General features: G+C 42.6%; 1 protein-coding gene across 5 annotated transcripts in view, besides 2 other annotated features; it reads left to right on the top strand.

The window, feature by feature from the left end:
- The window catches only part of GLG1 (golgi glycoprotein 1), a 159,675-nt gene that overhangs the window by 23,246 nt on the left and 113,114 nt on the right, over positions 1-23,315 (top strand). The gene's annotated exons all lie outside the window — the stretch shown is intronic.
- Positions 15,629-16,128: an enhancer, noted in NCBI's record as "H3K4me1 hESC enhancer chr16:74601639-74602138 (GRCh37/hg19 assembly coordinates)". NCBI's record gives its function as "activates a minimal SCP1, AML or CMV promoter by ChIP-STARR-seq in naive H9 embryonic stem cells {active_cell/tissue: H9 hESC(naive)}" and the evidence as "EXISTENCE:reporter gene assay evidence [ECO:0000049][PMID:30033119]".
- Positions 17,771-18,272: an enhancer, noted in NCBI's record as "H3K4me1 hESC enhancer chr16:74599495-74599996 (GRCh37/hg19 assembly coordinates)". NCBI's record gives its function as "activates a minimal SCP1, AML or CMV promoter by ChIP-STARR-seq in primed H9 embryonic stem cells {active_cell/tissue: H9 hESC(primed)}" and the evidence as "EXISTENCE:reporter gene assay evidence [ECO:0000049][PMID:30033119]".

Raw genomic sequence — 23,315 nt, 5'->3', positions numbered from 1 at the left:
TGATGATGATACCCTCAGCTCCCCCTTCTAAAAGACATGGTCGAGTGGAGGACGTAGCCATGGTGAGAGCTTTGAAAGAGAGATGCTTGGACATTGGCTAATTGGAGTCTGGATATGTCTCCCTGAGAAGATGATGATTGAGCTGAAGGAATGATAGAATTTAACCAAGTGAAGAGAAGTCAAAGTTTAGGCTGGGTGCCGTGGCTTACTCCTGTAATCCCAGCACTTTGGGAGGCTGAGGCCGGTGGATCACTTGAGGTCAGGAGTTCAAGACCAGCCTGGCCAACATGGTGAAACCCTGCCTCTGCTAAAAATGTCATAATTAGCCAGGTGTGGTGGCGTGCGCCTGTAATCCCAGCTACTAGGGAGTTGAGGCATGAGAATTGCTTGAACCCGGGAGATGGAGGTTGCAGTGAGCCAAGATCACGCTATTGCACTCCAGCTTGGGGGACAAGAGCGAAACTCTGCGCCCAACCCCCCAAAAAAGTCAAAGTTTAACTGTTACACTACCTCCAAAAATATGTAATTTGTGCTGAATTTGAAATGACAGCTAGGCATTTCAGGCAGTTTCCAGTAAGAGGATATAAACTTGGAACTAACTCTTGAACTGAGTCTAAATTTTAGAGTCATCCTGCTTATAAGGCTATAGTTGGGGCTATGAAAATGGCCAAGCCCTCTTAAAGAATGTGTAAATAGAAGACTATGATTCCAAGGACTGAGCCCTGGGGACAGCTTGCGATGAAGGGTTGGAAAGAGGCTTGTGGAGGGAATTATAGGTAACAGGAGGAGTGGTTGGGAGTTACAAGAAGATTTACAGGAGTTTAGTTGTGGAAGCCAAGGAAAGGGAAATTTTAGTTGTGAGAGTCAAGAAAAGAGAAATTTAAAAGGTAGTAAACCCTTGGGTAACTAGAGTAGCACAGCTAAAGTTAATGACTGAGAAAAGAGCATGGTTTCTGGTAAAAGAGATAGAATACCTTCTATAGAACCCAGATTTTTATTTTATTTTATTTTATTTTATTTTATTTTATTTTATTTTATTTATTTTTTTGAGAAGGAGTCTCACTCTTGTCACCCAGGCTGGAGTGCAGTGGCGCGATCTCGGCTCACTGTCAAGCTCCACCTCCCGGGTTCACACCATTCTCCTGCCTCAGCCTCCCAAGTAGCTGGGACTATAGGCGCCCGCCACCACGCCCGGCTAATTTTTGTATTTTTAGTAGAGACAGGGTTTCACTGTGTTAGCCAGGATGGTCTTGATCTCCTGACCTCGTGATCCGCCTGCCTTGGCCTCCCAAAGTGCTGGGATTACAGGCGTGAGCCCCCACGCCCGGCAGAACCCAGATTTTGACCGAAAAGTTTGATAGTGAAGAGAAGGTGAGACTATCTAAAAGGGAGGACATTCCTGTTAACAAAGATCTTTCAGGATTAAGGAAATCCCAGCACCTTGGGATGTTGAGGCAGGCAGATCACCTGAGGTCAGGAGTTCAAGACCAGCCTGACCAACGTGATGAAACCCCATCTCTACTAAAAATACAAAATTAGCTGGGCATGGTGGCGCATGCCTAAAATCCCAGCTACTTGGGAGGCTGAGGCAGGAGAATCACTTGAACCTGGGAGGCAGAGGTTGCAGTGAGCTGAGATTGCCCCATTGCACTCCACCCTGGGCAATAAGAGCGGAAGTCTGTCTCAAAAAACAAACAAAAAAACAGATTATGGAGATCTATTTTTTTATTTATTAAAATATTTTTCACCCCAATCTTACTATCTAGGAAAATCTGTTTTAAAGGCAAAGAAACAGGGAACCAGTAGAGAGGGTGAGAGATTGGAAATGCTGGAGAGGAAGAGGGTGCATGTAAAATGCTACGCAAGAGAGGAAGGAGGAGAGGGTTCAAGCCAATGTGGTGTCACAGAACATGATTTGTACTTTGAATTTGTTTTTGTTTTGTTTTGTTTTGTTTTTTTGAGACGGAGTCTCACCGTCGCCTGGGCTGGAGTGCAGTAACGCTATCTCGACTCACTGTGACCTCTGCCTCCCAGGTTCAAGCGATTGTCCTGCCTCAGCCTCCCGAGTAGCTGGGATTACAGGCGCCCGCCACCAAGCCCAGCTAATTTTTTGTATTTTTAGTACAGACGGGGTTTCACCATGTTGGCCAGGCTGGTCTCGAACTCCTGACCTCAGGTGATCTGCCTGCCTCAACATCCCGAGGTGCTGGGGTTTCCTTAATCTTGAAAGATCTTTGTTAACAGGAGTGTCCTCCCTTTTAGATAGTCTCAGCCTCCCAAAGTGCTGGTATTACAGGCATGAAGCACCTCCTGGCCTTTTTTTTTTTTTTTTTTAAATCTTACATTGAATCTCCATAATCATTAAATAACAACTTCCCATTCCAGAGTCCCTGGCAACCACCATTCTATTTTTTATCTCTGTGAATTTGACTACTCTAGGTATTCCATGTAAGTGGAATCGTGATATTTGTCCTTTTATGTCTGGCTTATTTCACTTTTAATGTCTTGAAGGTTCATCCATGTTGCGGCATGTGTATCAGAATTTCCTTCCTTTTTAAAGGTGAATAACATTCCATTATACGTATACACTGCATTTTGTTTATCTGTTCATCTGTTAATGGACACTTGAATTGCTTCTACCTTTTGGCTTTTGTGAATAATGCTGCTGTGAATGTGGGTATACAAATATCTCTTTGAGACCCTGTGTTCACTTTTTTTTGGTATATACCCAGTAGTGGAATTACTAGGTCATATGGCAATTCTATTTTTAAGTTTTTGAGGTTAGGGCATACTGTTTTTCACAGCAGCTGCATCATATTATATTCCCACCAACAGTTCAGAGAGTTCTAATTTCTTCACATCCTCACCAACACTTATTTTCTGTTTGTTTGTTTTTGAGACGTAGTCTCGCTCTGTTGCCCAGGCTGGAGTGCAACGGTGCACTAATTTTTTGTATTTTTAGTAGAGATGGAGTTTCACCATGTTGGTCAGGCTGGTCTCAAATTCCTGACCTCAGGTGATCCTTGCCCACTTATTAATCAGGCTGTTTGTATTTTGTTGTTGAGTTGTAAGAGTTTATTATATATTCTGAATATTAACCTCTCATCAGATAGATGACCTGCAAATATTTTCTTCCTTTTCATAGGTTGCCTTTTCACTCTATTGATTTGGTCGTCTTCAACTTTGATGTAGTTTACTTTATCATTTTCTTTTGTTGTCTGTGCTTTTAGTGTCATAGCCAATAAATTATTGCAAATTCAATGTCATGAAGCTTTTCTCCTATGCTTGCTTCACAGTATATTGTAGTTTTAGATCTTACATTTAGGCCTTTGATCCATTTTGAGTTAATTTAAAAAAAATTTTTCTTTTTGAAATAGGGTCTCTCTCTGTTTCCTATGCTGGAGTGTAATGGCGTGAATATGGCTTACTGCAGCCTTGACCTCCTGGGCCCAAGCACTCTTCCCATCTTGGTCTCCTGAGTAGCAGGGACGACAGGCAGATGCTACCAGGCTTGGTTTTTTTGTTTGGTTTTTTTTTAGTTTTTTTTGTAGAGATGGGGGTTGTGCCATGTTGCTCAGGCTGGTCTCAAACTCCTGGGCTCAAGCAATCCTCCCACCTCAGCCTCCCAAAGTGCTGGGATTACAGGTATAAACCACTGCACAGGCGTAAAATTTGGTTTTTTGATTTAGCATCTTTTATACCTGATAAATAGCCTTTAGGATTTAGGCCTGTGTTTTAAAAAATGGTGCAACATGAGATTCAGCTCTTCTGGAAAAGTTATCCTAAGGTTTTTTGTTTGTTTTTTTGAGACGGAGTCTCACTCTGTCACCCAGCCTGGAGTGCAGTGGCAGGATCTTGGCTCACTGCAACCTCTGCCTCCCAGGTTCAAGCGATTCTCCTGCCTCAGCCTCCAGAGTAGCTGGGACTACAGGCACGTGCCACCACGCCCAGCTAATTTTTGTATTTTTAGTAGAGACGGGGTTTCACCATGTTGGCCAGGATGGTCTCTATCTCTTGACCTTGTGATCCACCTGCCTTCGCCTCCCAAAGTGCTGGGATTACAGGCGTGAGCCACTGTGCGTGGCCATGCTAAGGTCTTCATATGAAGATCTCTTGAGGGTTTTTTGTTTTGTTTTGTTTTTTGTTTTTGAGACTGAGTCTTGCTGTCACCCATGCTGGAGTGCAGTGGCCCAATCTCAGCTCATTGCAACCTCCGCCTCCCTGGTTCAAGCCATTCTCCTGCCTCAGCCTCCCTAGTAGCTGGGACTACAGGTGTGTGCCACTACACCTGGCTAACTTTTGTATTTTTAGTAGTGATGGGGTTTTGCCATGTTGGCCAGGCTGGTCTCGAACTCCTGACCTCAGGTGATCCACCCACTTCGGCCTCCCAAAGTGCTGGGATTACAGACGTGAGCCACTGCGCCTGGCCAAGGGTTTTTTGTTTGTTTGTTTTGAGACAAGTTCTCATTTTGTCACCCAGCCTGGAGTGCACTGGCACAATCACGGCTCACTGCAGCCTTTACCTCCCAAGGCTCAGGTGATCCTCCTGTCTCAGCCTCCACCACCCCAGGAGCTGGGACTACAGGCGCATGCCACCACACCTGGCTAATTTTTGTGTTTTTAGTAGAGATGGGGTCTCACCATGTTGCCCAGGCTGTTTTTTTTGTTGTTGTTGTTTGTATTTTTAAGAGACAGGGTCTTGCTGTGTCTCCCAGGCTGGAGTGCAGTGGCGCGATCATAGCTCACTACAGCCTGGAACTCCTGGGTTGAGTTTTAAAAACAACTTATGAATTTAACTTCTCAGCTTGTGTACGTTATTGCAACTCAGCATTCCTAGGGCAAACCTGAACCTTGTTGTTCAGGATTCCAACCCATTCATATGGATCAATAAGAGCTGGCTCTTAATAAATGCAGACATAAATGCAGAATTCTCAGGACACATTTACCTATTTTCATCTTGTTAAAGATTACTTAAATGCCTTGTGAGACCATGTCATTTTGGAGAAAAAGTTATTTCAAAAACCTTATCCTAAATCTTGTTTTCACAGAATGACTTATGATACTGCATGTTAATTGTATTGGGGAAGATTTTAAAAAACCACAGAATCAATATATCTACATCAGATAGCTTTTTTTGTGTGTGCATTCAGCCTTCAGAACATACTCCTATACTCTAAGGAGGCCTGTGTTCTGGCAGGCACATGGATTTAATCTCTTCGTCTCCCTTTAAACCAAGTAATGCATCTTCATAGTTTTAAGTCAGAGCGCTATCAGGTTGATAATGAAGGACTACAGTCAGTCTTAGTTCTCTGCAATTTCAACTGTTTTAGCTCTTTACTCTTATTTACCTAATTTTTAAATAGAATGTGTAAGCTGTTCTCTTGATTTTTTTAAAAAAATTAGACATTATCCGTTGACTTATTACAAGCAACATTTAGTCTTCATAAAACACACTTGACAGAGTTTACTCTGAAATTGAACTTCATAAAGTAAGACATCCTACAAAGCTAGAGGATAAAATGGACTGTGCGGTGCCACAAAGAGTATTTGGACAAGGCAGTAGCTGCAGGAGATGGCATTAGTTGGCTGAGTTCTACAAAAAGCTTTTATCTACTTTAATGAGATCAATTTTCGTCCATTTCCTTCTTGTTTCAGTCTTATTCATCAGTCATGAGTCATCACATACTCATAATAAACAGTTTTTCAAAAAGAGATCAAATGTATTGCAACTTAGGTCTAATTAAACAAAAACAAACAAAATACCTCAGACAACCAAAATTGTGTCTTACTCATTCTTTTAGTTTTAACAGAGAACAAGGAGCAAATCCAAATGATTGCTGTTAGAATGGGTTTTGTTTTTGAGAGACAAGGTCTTTCTCTACTGTCCAGGCTGGTCTTGAACTCCTGGCCTCAAGTAATCCTCCTACCTTGGCCTCCCAGAGTGCTGGGATTACAGGCATGAGCCACTGCACACTTTTAATCCCAGCACTTTGGGAGGCCAAGGTGGAAGAATCACTTGAGCTCAGGAATTTGAGATCAGCCCAAGTAACATACTGAAACCTCATCTCTACAAAAAATAAAAATAAAATTAACCGGTCATGGTGGCTGGTAGTGCCTGTGGTCCCAGTTACTCAGGAGGCTGAAGCAGGATTGCTTGAGCTCAAGAGATCAAGCTTGCAGTGAACCATGATGATGCCACTACCCTCCATCCTGGGTGACAGAATGAGACAATGTCTCCAAAAAAATAAAAATAAAAAGAATGTTTTCGTGTGAAGTCAGAATACTTACCCCTTCCTGTTTTATAGTTTTTCATTATTGTATTTGGGATTCTTTTTTTTTTTTTTTTGAGATGGAGTTTCACTCTTGTTTCTCAGGGTGGAGTGCAATGGTGCCATTGCTGTTCACTGCACTTTCTGCCTCCTGAGTTCAAGCGATTCTCCTGTCTCAGCCTCCCGAGTAGCTGGGATTACAGGTGCCTGCCACCACACCTGGCTTATTATTGTATTTTTAGTAGAGATGGGGTTTCACCATGTTGACCAGCCTGATCTCGAACTCCTGACCTTGGGTGATCCACCCGCCGTGGCCTCCCAAAGTGCTGGGATTACAGGCAGGAGCCACCACACCCAGTCCTCAATGTCTATTTTTTAAAATAAGTGGGCTTACACCTGTATTTGCAGCACTTTGGGAGGCCAAGGTGGGAGGATCTCTTGAGCCCAGGAGTTTGAGACCAGCCTAGGCAACATGGAGAGACTCCTGTTTCTACCAGAAAATTAAAAACAATTAGCCAGGCATGGTGGCATGCACCTATGGTGCTAGTTGCCTGGAAGGCTGAGGCAAGAGGATTGTTTGAGCCCAAGAAGTTGAGGCTGCAGTGAGCTATGTTCATGCCACTGGGAGACTGACAGAGTGACATTCACCCTGCCTCTAAAAAAAAAAAAAAAAAATTAGGAGTGGTTAGAATTTATATGCAGGGTACATGGTTTCTTCCAAGAGGTAAAAATAAAAATATTTCTTCAGCTACTCAATTCAGTATCTCATTCATGAGTAAAGAAAGTATACTCAAAGATTATATTTAAAATGAAAACAATAAAAATTTTTTCTTCAGCAGGCTTCATTATTTTTTTGTTTAGCAATTTTTGTACCTTAAAAAAGAATAGATTTGTTCTCTAATTTCTCCAGCAACCTTATTTTATGAAGCACTCATTTATGCCCCATTTATATCTCAGACCAGAGGTGGGCAAACTGTAGTCCAAGGGACAGATCCAGCCCCACAACCTGTTTTAGTATGGCTCTGGAGTTAAGAATGGTTTTTATAATTTTAAAAGGTTATTAAGGGGATGCCATAGAGACCACAAGAGATTGTATGTGTTCTGCAAAGCCTAAAATAAGTATGGTATGCCTCTTTACTGAAAAAATTTGCTGACACGTGTCTTAGACTATAATATATAATGTACATGCAACTCATTTAAAATGGTCTATGATCCATCCAAATCATGGTGTCATTTTAAGTTAGAAAAATGTTTGGCTGTATTCTCTTTATATGTCTTGCATTTTTATAGAAATTCACGGAATTTGTCAGTCTTTAATAGTTGGTGTGGAGTTTTATTAACCAGGGCCAAATGTGTATGTATGACACCACAGACTTAAAATAGTTTGAACTTTTTTTTTTTTTGAGAAGGAGTCTCGCTCTGTCGCGCAGACTGGAGTGCAGTGGTGCTATCTCAGCTCACCGCCGCCTTCACCTCCCGGGTTCAAGCAGTTCTGCCTCAGCCTCCTGAGTAGCTGGGATTACAGGCAACCTCTACCATGCCTGGCTAATTTTTGTATGTTTAGTAGAGACAGGGTTTCACCACATTGGCCAGACTGGTGTCAAACTCTTGACCTCAGGTGATCTGCCACCTTGGCCTCCCAAAGTGCTGGGATTACTGGCGTGAACCACCGCGCCTGGCTAGTTTGGAATTTTGAGAGAGAGAGAGAGAGCATGAGAGCACACTGTGCTTGTATGCTTACTGTTGGTTGTATATGGTTTCGTGATACTGCTTTTTTGTTGGTGATGAATTTGAATATATTGCCACTTCTCTATGAAATCAATATTTTCTCATTGATATCTATATTTACAGCATAAAAATAAAGAGCGAGCTACTGCGGAAGCTGAGGCAGGAGAATTGCTTGAATCCGGGAGGCAGAGGTTGCAGTGAGCTGAGATTGTGCCACTGCACTCCAGCCTGGGCGACAGAGGGAGACTCTGTCTCAAAAAAACAAACAAACAAAAACAGAGCGAGAGATCTTTGAGGCTGTATTTTGGTGTTACAGTTGGTTGTATGTTTGGTTTGGTTGAGTTCTAATATTGGTAGTTAGCTTCCAGCAAAAGTCCTCTGGTTACCTGGTCATAATATTTTGTTATTTGTGATGTCTTATTGATTCTAAAACATGCTGTTAATTTTTCATCTTAACATCTTTGAAATCAGAATGCATCTTAAATTTTATGACATCATATGATTGGTAGAATATTTCTCCCCTAGTGGTACGTAAAGTAATGGTGCATCTCAAAATCAGTGTGTGATTCAGACAGTTTACTCATTTGTATTAACTGTTAGGTGCAGTGTTTTTTTGTTCTTTTTTTCAGATGGAGTCTCGCTCTGTGGCCTAGGCTGGAGTGCAGTGGTGTGATCTCAGCTCACTACAGCCTCTGCCTCCCAGGTTCAAGTAATTCCCTGCCTCAGCCTCCTGAGTAGCTGGGATTACAGGCACCCACCATCATGCCCAGCTAATTTTTGTATTTTTAATAGAGGTGAGATTTCACCATCTTGAGCAGGCTGGTCTTGAACTCTTGACCTCGTGATCCGCCCCCCCCCCCCCCCCGGCCTCCCAAAGTGCTAGGATTACAGGCGTGATCCACTGCACCCGGCTTCTTGTTCTTTATATGGATTCCTCCTGTCTCTCTCTCTCTCTGTCTTTTTTTTTTTTTTTTTTTTTTTTTTTTTTGAGACAGAGTCTTGCTCTCTTACCCAGGCTGGAGTGCAGTGGTGCAATCTAGGCTCACTGCAACCTCCACCTCCCGAGTTCAAGAGATTCTTGTGTCTCAGCCTTTCAAGCAACTGGGACTACAGGTGTGCACCACCATGCTCAGCTAATTTTTTGTGTTTTTAGTAGAAATGGCATTTTACCGTGTTGGCCAGGTTGGTCTCAAACTCCTGGCCTCAAATGATCCTCCCTCCTCAGCCTCCCGAAGTGCTGGGGTTACAGGCGTGAGCCACTGCACTGACCTAGATTCTACCTCTTTTTTATTTTGATTTTGTTGCCAAAATTTATTATTTTGGAAATCTTTCATCATTCAAAGGCTTGCTTTGGGGGTTAATTCTGATATTTGCATTTTGAGTTAGATGATAAGCACCATCCTTCATAGCTAGTCAACAGAGCAGTTTAGGAAAATGAACAGTTAACATAGTCAGTTTTGAGTAATGCAGTATCCCTATCTGTTACTGTTAACAGATGGCCTGCAGTCTGGTCTTTTATATTAGATAATATTTTGCTGAATATACCGTAGAAGAACATTAACCAGAAAACCTGTTTAGCGTTAGCTTTAGCTGAGATTTTCTTGGATGCTTGCAACTGTGAACACCCTCTGAATTTAAATAGTCATATCCTGTTGATGGGAAATAATTAGAAATTACATAGTAATTGTTTTTTCCACTTCATCTTCACCAAAGGCTGAGAAGCTTAGTGTTCTTTAGACCTTTAGTATCTTTAGGCTGAGCTACTTTGTATTACAGAGATAATAAGTGTATGTGTGTATGTGTGCGCGTGCACACGCATGTTGCTTACTTCCGTGGAGAATCATGAGTCAGTAGCTTAAAAAGAGGCAAGACAGCCTGGGCAACATGGAGAAGTCATGCCTCTACAAAAAATTAGTGGGGTGTAGTGGTGTGCGCCTGTAATCCCAGCTACTTGGGAGGCTGAGCTGGGAGAATCACTTTCGCCTGGGAGGCAGAGGTTGCAGTGAGCCGAGATTGCGTCACTGCACTCCAGTCTGGGTGACAGAGTGAGACCCCGTTTAAAAAAAAAAAAAAGACGCTAGATAGGCTGGGCCAGGTGGCTCACACATGTAATCCCAGCTCTTTGGGAGGCCAGGGTGGGAAAATCACTTGAACCCAGGAGGGCTAATTAGCCAGGCTCAGTAGTGTGCGACTGTAGTCCCAGCTACTGGGGAAGCTGAGCCCAGGAGGTCGAGCCTGGGCAACAGGGTGAGACCCTGTCTCTATTTAAAAAAAAAAAAAAAAAAAAAAAGGCAAGATAAATAAAAGGGGAAGGAAGATGAGGATTCATGCCAGCTTTAGATATATAAGTATAAGTTTTAAAATTTAAGTCAGTGGTTCCTAACCCTAGTTATATCTAGGGTGATTTTTAATATAGTAATACCCAGATGTTTCAGGCAAATTAAATCAGAATGTCTGAGAGTGGATACTGGCATCAAATTTTCAGAATCCTTTAAGATACGATTATTATTGTACTTAAAAAGCAATTTTTAAAAAAAATATATTTACCCAGATATTTAGCACTTTCTTTTCTCCCTGTATCTTCTTGCATCTCTCATCTGCCTACAATACATTCTTCAGAACTTCTTGTAGTAAAGATCTTCTGAGGGCCAACTGTCAGGGTTTTTTTGTCTAGAAATATCTTCATTCTACCCTATTCTTAAAAGATATTTTTGCTGGGCTTATGTGTCAATTATCTATTTCTGGGTCTGAGGATATGTGAAAAACCAAAGAGTTTTTCCTACTATCTACTCTCAATATAGTCACTCAACACTTCTGGCACCAGATGTATGGATTTTTTTACCCCCACCAACAACCAATTCTGCAGATAATTCTGCAGTGTATACCCACTGAGTGTCCTCTAATTCAGCTCAATCCTTGACACTATATACCTGGAAATAGCATCAGATCCCACAGGTTGAGAGCTCATTCCCATAAGACAGCCCGTCACTTCAGATGCCAGTTTCAAACACAGGTTTGACCTGTGCTTCTGACCAACCTGCTATAAATTGGGCTTCCCACAGGCACCACCCCCTCCCACCCCTCACTATCCTTGGGTTCAGTGAATTTGCTAGAGCAGGTCACAGAACTCAAGGGAACACTTCTATTTACAAGTATTTTAAGGAATATTATGAAGGACACAGATGAACAGCCAGTTGGAAGAGGTGCATAGGGCGAGGTATGGGAGAAGGGGCAAGGAGCTTCTATGCCCTCTCCAGGCAGGCCACTCTCCAGGAACCTGTGTCCAGTTATCTGGAAGACCTCAGAACCCAGTCCTTTGGGGTGTTTTGTGTTTTTTTTTTTTTGTTTGTTTTTTTTTTGAGACAGAGTCTCACTCTGTTTCCCAGGCTGGAGGGCAGTGGTGCGATCTCGGCTCACACTGCAACCTCCGCCTCCCAAGTTCAAGTGACTCTCCTGCCTCAGCCTTGCGAGTAGCTGGGATTACAGGTGGGTGTCACCATGCCCAGCTAAATTTTATATCTTTGGTAGAGACGGGGTTTCACTGTGTTGGCCAGGCTTGTCTTGAACTCCTGACCTCAGGTGATCCACCCATTTCGGCCTCCCCAAGTGCTGGGATTACAGGTGCGAGCCACCGTGCCCAGCCCCTTTGGGGTTTTTATGGAGTCTTCATTACTTAGGCATCATTGCCCTTTGGTGATCAACTTAACCTTCAGCCCCTTTCCCCTCCCTGGAGATTGGGGGTGGGCCTGAAAGTCCCAACCCTCCAATCATGCCTTGGTTTTTCCAGTGACTAGCCCCATCCTAAATTAGCTTTTTAAGCGCCACCACCACCCCCAACACCACCATTCAATTCATTCAGTAGCATGCAAAAGACAGTTATCTCTTCTGAGACTCCAAGGCTTTTAGTTAGATCTGTGCGTCAGGAAACAGGCACAGAGACCAAGTATCTATTCCACAGTATCACATGCTGGGAACACACCACCCCAAACTTCTTTTGCATTTTATTGTTAGTTACTTTCATTTTGTTTTCTAATCTTTTTAGTATTTTTATTTTTATTTTTTGAGACAGGGTCTCTGTCACCCAGGCTTCAGTGCAGTGGTGCAGTCACACCTCGATCTTCTGGGCTTAGGCTATCTTCCCACATCAGCCTCCCAAATAGCTGGGACCACAGGCGTGCACCACTGTGCCCGGCTAATTTTTTTTTTTTTTTCCTTTTTGAGATGGAGCCTTGCTCTGTTGCCCAGGCTGGAGTGCGGTGGCTGTATCTCAGCTCTCTGCAGCCTCTGCCTCCTGGGTACGAGCGATTCTCTTGCCTCAGTCTCCTGAAAGTAGCTGGCACCTGGCTAATTTTATTATTATTTATAAAGACAAGGTCTCTGAATGTTGCCCAGTCTGGTCTCTAGCTTCTGGGCTCAAGTGATCTTCCCACCTCAGTTGCCCAAAACATGGATTACTTGCGTGAGCCTCTGTACCCGGTCCCAAACTTAATGACTCAAGAACAACAACTACATATTTGCCCCTGAATCTGTGGGTCAGATTTTTGGGCAGTACTCAATGGGATCCCTTATCTCTCTGGTATACATGGTTATAGTTGGGCTCATTCATGTATCTGTAGTCACTTGGCAGGTCAGCTGTGGGTTGGACAGACCCAGATGGCCTCACTTACATGTCTGGTAGTTTGTTGGGTGAAAAAAGCAACTGGGCTCCATGTCTCATCATCTAGCTTGCTGTCTCACTCCTTCACATGGCTGGGTCCAAAAATCAATACGGAAAGGACAAGCTCCAGTGTACAAGCACTTTTCAGTCCTCTGATGTCACATTTGCTAATGTTTTACTGACCAAAGCAGGTCAGGTAGCCATGCCCAGATTCAAAAGGTTAAAGTGCCAAGTGAGGTGTGGTTAAAAAAAAAAAAAGACCAAAAAAACACAAAGAGTGAAGGAATTATAATCCATCTGTTTTTTGAGGGGCCAGCGGGTGGTAGGCGGACAGGGTCTTATGCTGTCATCCAAGCTGGAATGCAGTGGCATGATTGTAGCTTGCTGTAGCCTCAAACTCCTGGGCTCAACCCATTCTCCCACTTCAGCCTTCCAAGTGGCTGTGTCTGTAGGCGTGTGCCACCACACCTGGCTGATTTTTTATAGAGACAGGGTCCCACTATGTTGACCAAGCTGGTCTCAAACTCCTGATCTCAAGTGATGCTCCTGCCCTGGCGTCCCAAAGTGTTGTGATTACAGATGAGAGCCACTGTGCCTGGCCTGACTCCATCTGTTGATGGCATGAGCAACAATGTCACATTCAAAGGGCTGTGCTTTCAGAAAGGGGGGCAGGTGGGATTTGTGGCCTTGAAAAAATCCATCACAGTATAGAATTTTAGGTTGGAATATATTTTTCTTTCAGTGCATTTTTTTTTATTCCACTGTCTTTTGGCTTTCATTTTTGCTATTGAGCAGTTTATTCCTATAGCTTCTTTTAAGATTTTCTGAGGCTGAGAAATGCTTCACAATTATTATGTGAATTAAAAGATAAATGTAAAGAGACAAATACCTGGTAGTTTGCTGGTACCAGTAGAGAGACAAATAGCTGGTGGTTTTATGATGTTTTTGCACCAAAGTTTATTAGACAGCTGGAGAAATGGTGAAGTCAGGTGTGTGTACAAAAGCACCTAGAAGGAAATAGGTGATGTAGAAGTGAAAATATTCATTGGATTTATTATTCTGATTGATTTTTATTAATATAAAAATGAAAATATTTTGTAATTATGGAGCAAAAACCATTTGTCTTTTCAATAAAATTATGAGCCATCAAAAAATTTCAAAACTATTGTTTTTTTTTTTTCTTTCCTTTTCTTTTTTTTGAGACGGGGTTTGCTGTGTTGCCCAAACTGGTCTCAAACTCCTGGGCTCAAGCGATCCACTGGCCTCAGCCTCCCAAAATGCTGGAATTACAGGTGTGAGCCATTGCGCCCGGCCAAAACCGTTGCTTTTTTTTTTTTTTCTTTTTTTTTTTTTGAGTTGGAGTTTCAATCTGTCGCCCAGGCTAGGGTGCAGTGGCGTGATCTTGGCTCGCTGGAACTCTGTTCCCCAGGTTCAAGTGATTCTCCTGCTTCAGCCTCCCATGTAGCTGGAATTACAGGTGAGCCCCACCATGCCCAGCTAATTTTTTGTATTTTTAGTAGAGATGCGGTTTCACCATGTTGGCCAGGCTGGTCTTGAGCTCCTGACCTCAGGTGATCCACCCATCTCGGCCTCCCAAAGTGCTGGGATTACAAGTGTGAGCCACTGTGCATGGCACTATTGCATTTTGATGATACAAGTGCAAATATGAGAACTAGAAATAATGATAAGCTAGACTCTGTTAGAGATGTATTTGAAACTGGAATCAGTATTTACGAGGTGGATGTGTTCCAGGTTTGTGAATGACAGTTGATAAGCAGCTGGCATTGTTCAGTTCAGGTATATATACCTTCAAACCCAAGGAAACATAGAATAAATACTTGGGTTTACTGTGTTTAAATGTCTATTAAAGTTTCTTTGCCTTTCTGCTGATTATCGTTTATGATGTCTTGTTTCAGAAAGGATTTTTATTTGCTTATGCTAGGGAATTCTGACCACTCCATTCTAAGACCATCTTACATCATTCTCACAGTTCGAGGTTTTCTGAAACACCCATACAGTACAAATCTGTGCTCAGATCTGTGGAAAGGCTGGTTTACTTCTGATTCACCCTTGTCTTAAGGGTGTAGCCTTTTGAGATGCCAGCTTTAAGTGAGGACTATCTCATTAGATTTCCTACCTTGGGCAGGCCTTGGGCTTGGTTTCTGCCCACACGGCCCTTCAGTCATTTTGATGGGTTTAGCAAGTGCCTTCAAGGCAGAAGTGAGCTTTTGAGCTCTCCTGTGTTCTTGGGTATGTACCCCCTTTTCCTTCAGTTCTGGCTTGACAGTAATTTACGGTATTTTTAGCTCTTTATTGCTTTTAAGAAGATTTTTGTTTTCCAACACTTTTAGTTGTTTATAGTTAAAGGGTTGTTCTAAATAACCACTTCCAGAAGCAGATAACTGCACTTATTTTTAAGCTTTTCTGTTACTTTGCATGTGCACCTGATTTAAGATACTATTGGTTAAGCACTTTGCAAATAGAAAATATACGTACAGGCCAGGCGCAGTGGCTCATGCCTGTAATCCCAGCACTTTGGGAGGCCGAGGTGGGCGGATCACCTGATATCAGGAGTTCTAGACCAGCCTGGCCAACATGGTGAAACCCCGTCTCTACTAAAAACATAAAAATTAGCCAGGCGTGGTGGTGTGCAACTGTAATCACAGCTACTCAGGAGGCTGAGGCAGGAGAATCGCTTGAACCCGGGAGGCGGAGGTTCCAGTGAGCCGAGATCATGCCATTGCACTCCAGCCTGGGCGAAAGAGCAAGAGTCCGTCTCAAAAAAAAAAAAAAAAAGCAGTAAAATTATTCTGATACTTCTTTCTGCTTTATCAGAGTGAGATTTAAGTAAAAAGTTCATGTTCCTCACTATATCAGTTAGGAGTTATGATTCTTTTATAGTAATAGGAAGTCCTTTCCAAACTAGCTTCAGGTAAAAAGAGAATTTGCCTCATATAACTGTAAAGACAAGGTTTAGCACAGGCTTCAGGCTTAGATAGGTATTGATACTTGGCATCTTAGCAGGACTGACTTCTCTTACCATCTGCTTCTGGGCTGGCTTCTTTCACAGTCTCCACGTTGTGGCAAGGTGGCCAAAGTAGCTTTTATTCCTGTTCCTCCATGTGTCCCAGCATTATTGCAAATGTTGTATTGTTTGTCATTGTCTGAGTCCCTGAACCAGTTAGGAATGTTATGTGCATAGTCTTGGATTATGTGGACTCATTTGCTCTATCTGTGTCAGGAATGAGGCCCGACCTGGAGCACTCAGACTGAGATTGACAGAGTTGGGTGAATCCCCAAAAGAAAGCCAGGAGGCTAGAGAAGCAGACAATGAAAGTGCACCATATGGCCGGGCGCGGTGGCTCACGCCTGTAATCCCAGCACTTTGGGAGGCCGAGGCGGGTGGATCATGAGGTCAGGAGATCGAGACCATCCTGGCTAACAAGGTGAAACCCCGTCTCTACTAAAAATACAAAAAATTAGCCGGGCGCGGTGGCGGGCGCCTGTAGTCCCAGCTACTCGGGAGGCTGAGGCAGGAGAATGGCGTGAACCCGGGAAGCGGAGCTTGCAGTGAGCCGAGATTGCGCCACTGCAGTCCGCAGTCCGACCTGGGCGACAGAGCGAGACTCCGTCTCAAAAAAAAAAAAAAAAAAAAAAAAAGAAAGTGCACCATATATAGTAAGGTTTCAGCACAGGAAGCAGTGATTTTTATCTTTTGGAGTTTTACTTCTGACGTGACCCAAATGAAGAATAGTCCTGTGTCCTAGGAAACCCCAATGTTTTGTATTTGCTTCTATCATTAGAATAAAGAGATACCTGTCAATTTCTCATTTCAAATTCTAAAGCGCTGGCATTACAAATTTCAGTGAAACTATTGTGAGCCAGGCCAGAGCTGAGGGACGTGTTACAACATTGGTAATTGAACTTAACTCTGTTCCTCCTACCAACAAAACAAAAGAAACAGCTAACTCCTCTCTCTGTCTGTCTCTCTCTCTCTCTCTCTGTCTCTCTCTCCCCGCTCCCTACACCCCCCACACACAACACACACACACACAATTACATGTAATCATGTAATTTTATTCAAGATTTTCTCCTATAGAAAATTCAAAAATGCTAGATTTTAGGAGACCCATTAAGCGGCCTGAAAGGTTTTCTTAGATTCTTTTTCTGGGCAAAGACAATTTTCTTTTTCTTAGCTTCCTATAGTTTTGCAACATCTTAAACATTTTCTCCTCTGATATCTATATTCTTTGCGTGACTATATATACTTTTCATTCACATCTTAGCAATATGTGTTAGGTTTAAAATAATTAATGTTTAAATATTTCTGTTGTTTATTTAAAGTTTCCTGCAGGGTATTATTTTCCTGGTGTGGAGAATAAATTGTGGTGGAAAAAAATTTGTTGTATCTTCTACTTCCCATCAGATATTTATTATGCACTTTCTCCATTCTGAGTTCTAGGGTTGGGAATGGTCTTGACTCTGTAATGCTACTAAAATTATACTTTTGAAAGTATAAGAATAATAATCTAATAGTATGACTAAAGGATATAAAAGGCAAATTACAACAGAATAGGCATGGAGGGGAAAAAAAGAGACCTGCTCAGAGGTTAACTCTTCGAGAGAATGAAGACGGTAGTCTGGATTAAAGTCATGACAGAAGGAAAAGAGATTGACTAAATCTAAACAACATTGGAAAAAGATGACAATGGAGAGCTCTTTAAAGGATTAAAATATGAGACATACAGGAGAAAAATTAAAGATAAACCAAAAGTTTCACTGGGTATGTGGGGGTTACTCCCTGTGGGAACGATGAAGCCGTGGTAGAAAGAACTGGCTTGGGGACAAAAATAAATTCTGTTAAATAAATAAATAGAAAAGACAAATGTCCTGTAGAGAAGAATCACAAATAATTTATGTAGATACTTTCCCTGTCCAGGAGGTGGGCCTCTGCATTTCTTTCTTGATGATGGGCTGAGCTTGGTGAATTGCTTCCAAAGAGTAGCCTATGGGAAGGTGGAAAGGGAATCATTTTACAGTGGAGAAACCTTGGCCAAGTGATCAAAGTTGACGTTATGAGTGAGGTGGTGTTTGTAGCATGTATGCCTTTGATGCGATTGTTGAGAATGGCACTTTACCTATATGGTCTTTCTCCAAAAAGCCTATAACCCATGAGGAAAACGTCACACAAACCCAAATTGAGGGACGTTCTACAAAATACCTGACGAGGTTTCCTCAAAACAGTCAAGATCATCAGAACAAGGAGCCTAAGAAGGCATGGTGACTAAATCCTGGATGGGATCCTGTAACAAAGACGGAACGTTAGAAAACACTGCTTTAAGCAAAACCAAACCTAAACCAAACTTTTTAGTTTGGTTTGTATTAGGCAGTGTTCTCCAGAGACATAGAACCAATAAGGTGTGTTAAAAGAAAAACTTCAGACAAATTTAACAGAATTTAATTGTGCAAAGAATAATTTGCGAATCAGGCAGCCTCTCGAACCAGGAAAGGTTGAGAACTACTCTGGTGCTGGTGTATGGTTGGAGAGGATTTATGGACAGAAAAAGGAAAGTGACATACAGGAAAGGAAGTGAGGTACAGAAACTGCAGGATTGGTTACAGCTGGGCCTTTGGCTTATCTGAACACAGTTTAAGCAGTTGGCGGTCTATGAGTGAAGTATGGCTGCTGTGATTGGCGGAGACTGAGTTACTTGTTACAGGAGTAGGTTGCAGTTTGTTTTCTCTTCTAGTCAGGTTACAGTTCCCTATGTACTGAGAAATCTTTAGGCCCGAACTTAAAATATGTAAGAAGGCAGCTTTAGGCTAACTTTAACAATTCCCCTCTTTGGTCAACCTCTCAGTTTTGTTTTGTTATTGTTGTTGTTTTTGAGATGGAGTGGCTCTGTTGCCTAGACTGGGGTGTAGTCATAAAATCTCGGTTCACTGCAACTTCTGCCCCCTGGGTTCAAGTGATTCTCATGTCTCAGCCTCCCAAGTACCTGGGATTATAGGCGTGTGCTACTGCACCTGTCTAATTTTTATATTTTTAGTAGAGACAGATTTCACCATGTTGGTCTTGAACTCCTGACATCCAGTGATTTGCTCATCTCAGCCTCCCAAAGTGTTGGGATTACAGGCATGAGCCACCCCATCTGGCCTCAATTTTGTATTGTTTGTCAATTTTGAGAGGTTGACAAAACTTTAGGCATCCATAAATGTACTTATTTGATCTCAAATCCAACTGGGAGGTAACAAAACTGGCTTTTGCAAGGTGGGGAACAAGGACTTCAGGTTAGTTTTCTGTAGGGATTAGAGCAGGGGCAACCTCCTTATGCTGGGATCTCTTGTTTTTAGGAAAGGAATAAAAAACCTGGGCTGTTTGGGATCTTTCTGCTTCCTTAAAGTTTCAATTTGATGATGTTGCATTTAGCATGAGTGACTTCATTTAGGTTTGATCTGGTCTAGCCTATTGATGCCTAGTGAATAAGCTTAATCCAAAACAGTGGGCTCTCACAATTTTGTTTAACAGCTTCGCCTTTTTGGTCAGGTTCTCACTTGGGTGTGAGTGTTACTGAAACTTAGGGCTTTAGTGCTACTCAGTTACCATCCTTTTGGGTTTCCAGTCCTAGCACTTTATTCATAGGTTTTGGTGTCCTCATGATCATGCATGTCTTTGAGTGTTTATCATTCCTGCTGAAGAGAGACCATTTGAACTTACATAGATGGCTGCATGCAAACATTTATAACTTTTGAGAGAATATAATGCAGCAGGGAGACTGCTATTATGACTGTTAGGAGGATAATACTAAGAGTTTGGAGTATGCTCCTTAGCCAGAGTTCGCATGAACCAAACCAACTAAAATCAAATAGATCAAAGAATGAGCAAGATAAACAATCTACTCATTTCAACCAAGCAGCCAGTTCATTAATCCCCTACAACTGAATCTCTGTAATATCCAGTATATTCATCCACGTGCAACAAGAGGTGTCAGCAAGGCCTGGTATGATGGCTCACACCTGTTAATCCCAGCATTTTGGAAGGCCGAAGCGGGAGGATCCCTGAGGCCAGGAGTTCAAGACAGCGTAGGCAACATAGCAAGACCCTGTCTCTACAGAAAATACAAAAATTAGCCGGGCCTCGTGGCACATGCTGGTAGTTCCACTACTCAGGAGGCTGGGTGGGAGGATCACTTGAGCCCAGAAGGTTGAGGCTAAATGAGTCATGATTGAGCCACTGCAGTCCGGCCTGGGTGACAGAGCAAAAACCTGTCTCAAAGAATAAAAATAAAAGTGTCAGCAACTTCACAGATACTTCCCTGATTAGCCAGTAGGCAACCTTGAGCAATTCTGTTATCCAGTAGACCTTTAGCAAGATAATTTAAAGAAGTCTGTTTTGTAACCATAGCCTTTGCAGTAGAATCTGCTATGGAGCATATCATGAGGAACAAATTTCTTTTTTTTTTCTTTTTCTTTCTTTTTTTTTTTTTTGAGACAGGGTCTCACTCTGTTGCGCAGGCTGGAGAATAGTGGCGTGATCTCGGCTCCCTGCAACCTCTGCCTCCTGGGTTCAAGCAGTTCTCCCACCTCAGCCTCGCAAATAGCTGGGACTACAGGCACACGCCACCACGCCCCGCTAATTTTTGTGTTTCTGCTAGAGACAGAGTTCCCATTTTGACCAGGCTGGTCTTGAACTCCTGACCTCAAGTGATCTGCCCACCTCAGCCTCCCAAAGTGCTTGGATTACAGGCATGAGCCACTGCGTCCAGCCCATGAGGGACAAATTTCTAGACACTGTATCGTTTACTCCAAACTCTGGAAAAAGTGACCTAACAATGAAGGCCATTCAGAATGATGAAGGCTTCCAAGCACTAGTGTTCTTTTTCACCTCTGATGTAGGTTAAAAGGAGTGGACCAGTGTTCTCTTTCTGACAGAACCATTAAAATTCCTAACCCACATTGGACTGTCATCTTTCATCCATTAAGACATAATGCTGCCTATGGATAAGGTTGGCTGTAAAAGTTTTCACAAATAAAAGTGTGCCCCATTGGTGCACCATAAGACCCCTTTTCTGTTGTTCATAGAGGCATAAACAAGGAAAACATTGAGAGGTAAGAGTCTCATGATGACAGAGAAGTTTTGATCCATGCTTTTGGGAAAGCTGTCCATGTCTAGGGTGCCATCTGCTTCTGGGGGAAAACCTTTTCTAACTGGTTAGCTTTACGTTAAGATTTCCAATGGGTGTACAATTCCAAGTCTGGAGGGGCCCTCCTGCATTGTGATATCAATTGACCCAGTGTTTGAGGCCCCAGAGTTTTGCTTCATTGTGGGTAACAAGGGCAGTGTTTTCCTGACGTCATTTCCAGAAGAACCAACCTCCAGGTTCTAGATTGTGAAGGATTTGAATGTCCTCAGTGGGTGGGTCATGAAAAGCTTCCTTTACTGCCAGCACGGTAGCTCATGCCTGTAATCTCTACACTTTGGGAGGCCGAGGTGGGCGAATCACTGGAGGTCAGGTCTCTGGAACCCAGGAGTTCAAGACCAGCCTGACCAACATGGTGAAACCCCATCTCTACTAAAAATACAAAAATTAGCTGGGTGTGGTGGCGCATGCCTGTAATCCCAGCTGCTTGGGAGGCTGAGGCACAAGAATTGCTTGAACCCGGGAGGTGGAGGTTGCAGAGAGCTGAGATCACACCACTGCTCTCCAGCCTGGGCAACAGAGTGAGACCATCTACAGAAAATAAAAAAAAGAAAAGCTTCCTTTAGCTGGTGAAAATACACTTTGGTATAATGCATTAAAGGCTTGCAGCATTTATTCATATCAGAGTTTGGGAGAGGAAGATACATGAGGTTCTATTATTAGTGGCATAGGCCTTCCAGTGACTATTTCATAATGAGTCAACTTATATTTTCTACTGGAAGCAGATGAGGTTGTCATCAATCTGCAATACCTTTGACCAAGGCAACCAGTCAATTCAGTTAGCTTCACCTAAAGCTGTTGTGTCTGTAATACCTTACTTAACTGTTTACAACTTGTCCAGTGAAACAAGTACCACTATCACTGGAGATTTCTCCAGGAATGCCCCGTGAGGGAAACACATTTTCTGACAACCTTTTAGCTACTGTTATAGCATCAGCCTTCTTGCATGAGAAAGCTTTTACCAGAAAACGTGTTGAAAATGACAGTTGAATGAAATTCCTCTATAAGTGTTCCAATGACCCATCAGGTAGCTGAAGTTTTAATTATCTTCCCAGGTTGTAGGTTTGATAAGCCAAACCTTGGTCATAAACCATTTTTAGCGATTTAGAGCAGTCACCACACCAATGTATATGTTTTCTATTTGGATCATTTTCTGTCTTCCATGATGAGTCATGGAGTGCAGAGCTTTTAATAATGGAAGATTTACGGATTCAGGAAGGACCAGGTGGCTGTGCAGGATCTCTGTGATTCCATGCTTAACATTGCATTTATAGCCTGTTAAATACCAATTTTGTATCTCCAATTCAGGTGCATAGCACTGTTCATTAAATGGGTTATCATAGGTAATTTGACTTGGAACATAGAGTTCATTCAAGTTGCATATCTTAACAGTTTTAGTACTGGCTGATTTAGCATGAAAATCTGGCAGAGTATTTTTCTTAGTATTCAGTTAATTTTTGTCCTGCTTGGGTTAGCAGTTTTATAAACCAGTCTCTTTATTAAAGTTCTGGGAATTCTTACCCAGTCCAAATTAGATGAGCCTAAAGTTATCAGAAACTTGTATTCAGTAGTGCTTATTAGGGTCCTTTCCATTACTTTCCATGAACGTTCTTGAAGACATAATGCTCTAGGATTTTACTTGGTTGTAAAGAGCTTAAAGAAAATGCATCCGTATAAAGCAATTAACTGTGGAAACAAAATGATCATGGTTAAAGACATAATTGACAAGAAAATTTGGTTGTGGTCATGAAGGGTGTGAGGGTGCAGGCCTAGGTGCCAATATTGGGGGCAGGGACCTCAGCCTTCTGAGGCTACTCACAGGCATGCTGCCCCCCATGCCCAGCTCTGACACCAGCAGGAGGAAGGTGCTGGCTGCTGCAGGATCCTGGCTTGCTGCCTGTTGGCCCCGATCCTGCCCCATCCCTCCAGCTGGGCACCCCCAGGTGCTGCCATGCAACCAAGCAGGACTGTGCAGGACTGCGCAGGACTGCGTGGTGCCAGACTATATCTCTTCTAAAAATTCATTCAATTTGAAATAACCTTTAAATAACTTTTTTTCTCAGCAAACACATATTTTTATGCCTTTATAGCTTTCCTTACAAAAACATATCTTACTTTCTTTACATATTCTATATACAGAATTGCTTCTCTCTTTCCTTCCTTCTTTCCCTCCCTTCCTCCCTTCTTTTTTTCTTTCGAGATGGGATTGCTGTGTTGCCCAGTCTGGTCTCAATCAAACTCCTGGCTTCCAGAGATCCTCCTGCCTCAGCCTCCAAGTAGCTGGGGTTACAGGCCTAAGCCACCATGCCCAGCTCAGGTTTAATTTTTCTTACAATTAGTTGCTTAAGCTTTGCCTTTTATAAAGAGTTTTTAGGGCTAGGCGCAGTGGCTCATGCCTGTAATCCCAGCACTTTGGTAGGCTGAGGCAGGCAGATCACCTGAGGTCAGTTCAAGGCCATC

The sequence above is a fragment of the Homo sapiens genome, chromosome 16, assembly GCF_000001405.40.
Source record: "Homo sapiens chromosome 16, GRCh38.p14 Primary Assembly".
NCBI lineage: Eukaryota > Metazoa > Chordata > Mammalia > Primates > Hominidae > Homo > Homo sapiens.
This window is presented reverse-complemented; position numbering and strand designations above follow the sequence as displayed.